General features: G+C 46.1%; 1 annotated feature.

Annotated features, from left to right (window-relative positions):
* Positions 1-522: an enhancer, noted in NCBI's record as "OCT4-NANOG-H3K27ac hESC enhancer chr15:93053451-93053972 (GRCh37/hg19 assembly coordinates)". NCBI's record gives its function as "activates a minimal SCP1, AML or CMV promoter by ChIP-STARR-seq in naive H9 embryonic stem cells {active_cell/tissue: H9 hESC(naive)}" and the evidence as "EXISTENCE:reporter gene assay evidence [ECO:0000049][PMID:30033119]".

The following is a 7,878-nucleotide window of genomic DNA, read 5'->3' on the forward strand; positions in this document are numbered from 1 at the left end:
GCAAGTTTGATTGAATCATTGGCAAGGTGACTGAACTTGGTCTCTAGCCCCCTACCTCTCCCAAGAGCTCAGGCAGCTGAAAGTCCCAACCCTCTAATGCTCAATCTTTTTGACGACCAGCTCCATCCTGAAGCTGTGTAGGAATCCACTGTGAGTCACCCCATTATCATAACAAAGACACTCCTATGGCTCAGGAATTTCCAAGGGTTTTGAAGCTCTGTGCTGGTAACTGGGAACAAAGACCAGACAAATTCTTTACTATATAATAGCCCTAGAGAAACTCTGCATATGTACCTCAGGAGACATGTATAAGAGCACTACGTGTAATAAACAAAAAAGGAAACAGCCTACATGTTCTTGGGTGTATTGCAATAAATTCCTACAGTGTGATACTGTATATACAGTGGTGATAGTGGTGGTGGAGTTACTGATTGGAAAAGGAAGAGTAAGAGCCACGTACCCCTCCCGCCTTCCATAGTGGTGGATCAGAAGACTCTCCCTTGAGATTAGAGGTGACTCCAAATGTAGGGAACTTGTGTGTTCACCTTGATTTAAGATTTTTTAATGCAGAAGTCTCACCTAAGTGCCTCCCTCACCAGTAAGTATGAGAGGGTTGACTACTCTGCCCTATCACATCAATAACCATTAGCTTCCTGAGGTCCAAGGGCCATAAAAAACGACTCAGTTTCTCTTGATCACCCCAAGAGGTCAACGATTATCTAAGGCACAAGAGTAAGCTAGCAGTGCCACACATAACACTGGTGGAGGCCAAAAGTGGCCAGCGAGGCACCTCTGAGAGGCATCGGCAATAGGAACTCAACATGCAGCCAAAATGGCAAAGGAAATCTGCATGTGTCACCTAGCAGAGACCACTGCACAGGCACAGACACCATTCCCAGGTCCATTTAAATCAAGAAGGCTGGCACCTCCGCTCCTGAGACCAGCACCAGGACACGCAGTACTCAGCCAGCAGAGAAACTCCTTAAACAGACACGCAGCTCACCTGCACCCAGATGCAACCTGATGGAGAGAGTGTCAAGGTGAGAGATAATTAACTGACATTTCCTCCAAAAAGATAAAAGTTAATGTCAGGCCTCTGAGCCCAAGCTAAGCCATCATATCCCCTGTGACCTGCACGTACACATCCAGATGGCCAGTTCCTGCCTTAACTGATGACATTCCACCACAAAAGAAGTGAAAATGGTCTGTTCCTGCCTTAACTGATGACGTTCCACCACAAAAGAAGTGAAAATGGCCTGTTCCTGGCTTAATTGATGACATTATCTTTTGAAATTCCTTCTCCAGGCTCATCCTGGCTCAAAAGCTCCCCTACTGAGCACCTTGTGACCCCCACTCCTGCCCGCCAGAGAACAACCCCACTTTGACTGTAATTTTCCTTCACCTACCCAAATCTTATAAAACGGCCCCACCCCTATCTCCCTTTGCTGACTCTCTTTTCGGACTCAGCGCGCCTGCACCCAGGTGAAATAAACAGCCTTGTTGCTCGCACAAAGCCTGTTTGGTAGTCTCTTCACACCGACACACATGAAATTTGGTGCTGTGACTCAGATTGGGGGACATCCCTTGGGAGATCAATCCCCTGTCCTCTTGCTCTTTGCTCCATGAAGAAGATCCACCTATGACCACGGGTCCTCAGACCCACCAGCCCAAGGAACATCTCACCAATTTTAAATCAGGTAAGCGGCCTCTTCTTACTCTCTTCTCCATCCTCTCTCACTATCCCTTAACCACGTTCTCCTTTCAATCTTGGTGCCACCCTTCAATCTCTCCCTTCTCTTAATTTCAATTCCTTTCATTTTCTGGTAGAGACAAAGGAGACACGTTTTATCCATGGGCCCAAAACTCTGGTGCCGGTCACGGGCTTGGGAAGGCAGCCTTCCCTTGGTGTTTAATCATTGCAGGGATGCCTCTCTGATTATTCACCCATGTTTCAGAGGTGTCTGACCACGCAGGGATGCCTGCCTTGGTCCTTCACCCTTAGCAGCAAGTACCACTTTTCTGGGGGGCAAGAACCCCCCAACTCCTTCTCTCCCTGTCTCTAACCCTTCTCCACTTTTCTGAGGGCAAGAACCCCCCAACCCTTTCTCCTTCACCCTTAGCGGCAAGTACCGCTTTTCTAGGGGGCAAGAACCCCCCAACCCCTTCTCTCCATGTCTCTACCCCTTCTCTGCTTTTCTGGGGGCAAGAACCCCCAATCCCTTATTTCTGTACCCCAACCTCTTATCTCTATGCCCCAATCCCTTGTTTCCATGCCCCAACCTCTTATCTCTGCACCCCATCCCTTATTTCCACACCCCAATCTCTTATCTCTGTGCCCCAATCCCTTATTTCTGCACCCCGACCTCTTATCTCTGTACCCCATCCCTTATTTCTGTGCCCCGACCTCTTATCTCTGTGCCCTGATCCCTTATTTCCATGCCCCGATCCTTTTCCCGCTTTTCTGGAAAGTAAGAACCCCCAAACCCCTTCCCTCTGTGTCTCTACTCTCTCTTTTCTCTGGGCTTGCCTCCTTCACTATGGGCAACCTTCCACCCTCCATTCCCCCTTCTTCTCCCTTAGCCTGTGTTCTTAAAAACCTAAAACCTCTTCAACTCACACCTGACCTAAAACCTAAATGCCTTATTTTATTCTGCAATGCCACTTGACCCCAATACAAACTCGACAGTGGTTCCAAATAGCCAGAAAATGGCACTTTCAATTTTTCCATCCTACAAGATCTAAATAATTCTTGTCGTAAAATGGGCAAATGGTCTGAGGTGCCTGACGTCCAGGCATTCTTTTACACATCGGTCCCCCCCAGTCTCTGTTCCCAATGCAACTCGTCCCAAATCTTCCTTCCCTCCCAACTGTCCCCTCAGTCCCAACCCCAAGTGTTGCTGAGTCTTTCTAATCTTCCTTTTCTACAGACCCATCTGACCTCCCCGCTCCTCGCCAGGCCAAGCTAGGTCCCAATTCTTCCTCAGCCTCTGCTCCTCCACCCCATAATCCTTTTATCACCTCCCCTCCTCACACCCAGTCCAGCTTACAGTTTTGTTCCGTGACTGGCCCTTCCCCACCTGCCCAGCAATTTCCTCTTAAAAAGGTGGCTGGAGCTAAAGGCATTGTCAAGGTTAATGTTCCTTTTTCCTTATCCCAAATCAGAAGCGTTTAGGCTCTTTTTCATCAAATATAAAAACCCAGCCCAGTTCATGGCTCGTTTGGCAGCAACCCTGAGACACTTTACAGCCCTAGACCCTGAAGGGCCAGGAAGCCGTCTTATTCTCAATATGCATTTTATTACCCAATCCGCTCCCAACAGTAAATAAAACTCCAAAAATTAAATTCCAGCCCTCAAACCCCACAACAGGACTTAATTAACCTCGCCTTCAAGGTGTATAATAATAGAGTAGAGGCAGCCAAGTAGCAACATATTTCTCAGTTGCAATTCCTTGCCTCCACTGTGAGACAAACCCCGGCCACATCTCTGGCATACAAGAACTTCCAAACGCCTAAACCGCAGTGGCCAGGTGTTCCTTCAGGCCCACCTCCCCCAGGAGCTTGCTACAAGTGCCAGAAATCTGGCCACCAGGTCAAGGAATGCCCACAACCCGGGATTCCTCCTAAGCCGTGTCCCACCTGTGCAGGACCCCACTGAAAATCGGACTGTTCAACTCACCTGGCAACCACTCCCAGAGCCCCTGGAACTCTGGCCCAAGGCTCTTTGACTGACTCCTTCCCAAATCTTCTTGGCTTTGCAGCTGAAGACTGACACTGCCGGATCTCCTCGGAAGCCTACAGGACCATCACAGACATTCTGAGTAACTCTCACAGTGGAAGGTAAGTCCGTCCCCTTCTTAATCAATACAGAGGCTACTCACTCCACATTACCTTCTTTTCAAGGGCCTGTTTCCCTTGCCTCCATAACTGTTGTGGGTATTGACGGCCAAGGTTCTAAACCTCTTAAAACTCCCCAACTCTGGTGCCAACTTAGACAATACTCTTTTAAGCACTCCTTTTTAGTTATCCCCACCTGCCCAGTTCCCTTATTAGGCCGAGACACTTTAACTAAATTATCTGCTTCCCTGACTATTCCTGGACTACAGCCACATCTCATTGCCACCCTTCTTCCCAATCCAAAGCCTACTTTGTGTCCTCCTTTTGTATCCCCCTGCCTTAACCCACAAGTATAGGATACCTCTACTCCCTCCTTGGTGACCGATCATGCACCCCTTACCATCTCATTAAAACCTAATCACCCTTACCCCGCTCAATGCCAATATCCCATCCCACAGCATGCTTTAAAAGAATTAAAGCCTGTTATCACTCACCTGTTACAGCATGGCCTTTTAAAGCCTATAAACTCTCCTTACAATTCCCCCATTTTACCTGTCCTAGAACCAAACAAGCCTTACAGGTTAGTTCAGGATCTGCGCCTTATCAACGAAATTGTTTTGCCTATCCACCCAGTGGTGTCAAACCCATATACTCTCCTATCCTCAATACCTCCCTCCAGAATCCATTATTCTGTTCTAGATCTCAAACATGCTTTCTTTACTATTCCTTTGCACCCTTCATCCCAGCCTCTCTTCGCTTTCACTTGGACTGACCCTGACACCCATCAGGCTCAGCAAATTACCTGGACTGTACTGCCGCCAAGCTTCACAGACAGCCTCCATTACTTCAGTCAAGCCCAAATTTCTTTCTCATCTGTTACCTATCTCAGCGTAATTCTCATAAAAACACATGTGCTCTCCCTGCTGATCATGTCCAGCTGATCTCTCAAACCCCAACGCCATCTACAAAACAACTCCTTTCCTTCCTAGGCATGGTTAGATACTTTTGACTTTAGATAACTGGTTTTGCCATCCTAACAAAACCGTTATATAAACTCACAAAAAGAAAGCTAGCTGACCCCATACATCATAAATCCTTTCCCCAATCATCTGTTCCTTGAAGACAGCTTTAGAGGCTGCCCCCACCCTAGCTCTCCCTGACTCATCCCGACCCTTTTCGTTACCCACAGCTGAAGTGCAGGGCTGTGCAGTCAGAATTCTTACACAAGGACCAGGATCGCGTCCTGTAGCCTTTTTGTCCAAACAACTTGACCTTACTGTTTCAGGCTAGCCATCACATCTCCGTGCAGTGGCTGCTGCCGCCCTAATACTTTAGAGGCCTTTAAAATCACAAACTATGCTCAACTCACCCTCTACAGTTCTCATAACTTCCAAAGTCTATTTTCTTCCTCACACCTGACACATATACTTTCTGCTCCCCGGCTCCTTCAGCTGTACTCACTCTTTGTTAAGTCTCCCACAATTACCATTATTCCTGGCCGGGACTTCAATCCGGCCTCCCACATTATTCCTGATACCACACCTGACCCCCATGACTGTATCTCTCTGATCCACCTGACATTCATCCCATTTCCCCATATTTCCTCCTTTCCTGTTCCTCACCCTGATCACACTTGGTTTATTGATGGCAGTTCCACCAGGCCTAATGGCCACACAGCAGCAAAGGCAGGCTATGCTATAGTACAAGCCACTAGCCCACCTCTTAGAACCTCTCATTTCCTTTCCATTGTGGAAATCTATCCTCAAGGAAATAACTTCTCAGTGTTCCATCTGCTATTCTACTACTTCTCAGGGATTATTCAGGCCCCCTCCCTTCCCTACACATCAAGCTCAGAGATTTGCCCCCAACCAGAACTGGCAAATTGGCTTTATTCAACATGCCCTGAGTCAGAAAACAAAAATACCTCTTAGTCTAAGTAGATATTTTCACTGGATAAGTAAAGGCCTTTCCTACAGGGTCTGAGAAGGCCACCACAGTCATTTCTTCCCTTCTGTCAGACATAATTCCTCTGTTTAGCCTTCCCACCTCTATACAGTCTGATAATGGACCAGCCTTTATTAGTCAAATCAGCCAAGCAGTTTTTCAGGCTCTTGGTATTCAGTGAAGCCTTTATATATCCCTTACAGTCCTCAGTGTTCAGGAAAAGTAGAACGGACTAAAGGTCTTTTAAAAACACACCTCACCAAGCTCAGCCACCAACTTAAAAAGGAATGGACAATACTTTTACCACTTTCCCTTCTCAGAATTCAGGCCTGTCCTCAGAATGCTACAGGGTACAGCCCATTTGAGCTCCTGTATGGACGCTCCTTTTTTTATTAAGACCCAATCTCATTCCAGACACCAGACCAACTTGGACTGTGCCCCAAAAAAACTTGTCATCCCTACTATCTTCTGTCTAGTCATACTCCTATTCACCATTCTCAACTACTCATACATGCCCTGCTTTTGTTTACACTGCCAGTTTACACTGTTTCTCCAAGCCATCACAGCTGATATCTCCTGGTGCTATCCCCAAACTGCCACTCTTAACTCTTGAAGTAAATAAATAATCTTTGCTGACAGGACTATGCTGAATCTCCTTAGGCACTCTCTAATTAGATGTCCTAGGTCCTCCCAATTCTTAGACCTTTAATACCTGTTTTTCTCCTTCTCTTATTCTGTTTAGTTTTTCAATTCATACAAAACCGTATCCAGGCCATCACCAATGATTCTAAATGACAAATATTTCTTCTAACAGTCCCACAATATCACCCCTTACCACAAAATCTTCCTTCAGCTTAATCTCTCCCACTCTAGGTTCCCACACCGCCCCTAATCCCAGTCGAAGTGGCCCTGAGAAACATCGCCCATTATCTCTCCATACCATCTCCCAAAATTTTTGCCATCCCAACACTTTACCACTATTTTGTTTTATTTTTCTTATTAATATAAGAAGACAGGAATGTCAGGCCTCTGAGCCCAAGCTAAGCCATCATGTCCCCTGTGACCTGCATGTACACATCCAGATGGCCTGTTCCTGCCTTAACTGATGACATTCCACCATAAAAGAAGTGAAAATGGCCTGTTCCTGCCTTAACTGATGACATTATCTTGTGAAATTCCTTCTCCTGGCTCATCCTGGCTCAAAAGCTCCCCTACTGAGCACTTTGTGACCCCCACTCCTGCCCGTCAGAGAACAACCCCCCTTTGACTGTAATTTTCCTTTACCTACCCAAATCTTATAAAATGGCCCCACCCGTATCTCCCTTCACTGACTTTTCGGACTCAGCCTGCCTGCACCCAGGTGAAATAAACAGCCTTGTTGCTCACACAAAGCCTGTTTGGTGGTCTCTTCACACGGACGCGCATGAAAGTTAAGGCCAGAAATGAAATAAGTGCCCTGTGATTGCAAGATCACAGGTTTTCCTCATAGAAAAGGAGAGTCTAGTTTTGTTAAGTTTAGATGTAGAGGTTTAAGAAATCCATTTTCATAAACTGAAAAACTGAGTTTTATAAACTGTTCTACTTCTGAAACATTATATCCAATGGGTGCATAGAGAGATAGATACATACATACATACATATATAGATACATAGATACATGATAGAGATACATAGATAGATAACATAAACACACACACACATATTTGTTAATATTTTTAAACAAAATATGAGAACACACTAAGCATACTATTCTACAAATTGCTTCTTTCAATTCATCAAGCATCATGAGCTCTTTGACCAGTTATTTACCTAGTATTTCATCATCTGAATTATATATATCATTGATTTGAAGATAATTGCCCTGCCTGCTGAGTCTCCTCTTCCAAGCAAACATCTCCAACTCCTTCTATGGCACACACCTAGACTCCTGTTGGCTTTACTCTGGAAAGTTCCAGCTTGTCACTGTCCCTCTTAAAGTGTATTGGCAGGGGATGTATCAGCTTCAGCCATGGGAAGTGAGCACAGGCAGTTGAGAGGGTGATTTTCCATGGTGTAGCACTCAGCGAAAGGCACTGGCAAGATGTGGCCCTCAACTCAACC

This window comes from Homo sapiens, chromosome 15 (genome assembly GCF_000001405.40).
Source record: "Homo sapiens chromosome 15, GRCh38.p14 Primary Assembly".
NCBI lineage: Eukaryota > Metazoa > Chordata > Mammalia > Primates > Hominidae > Homo > Homo sapiens.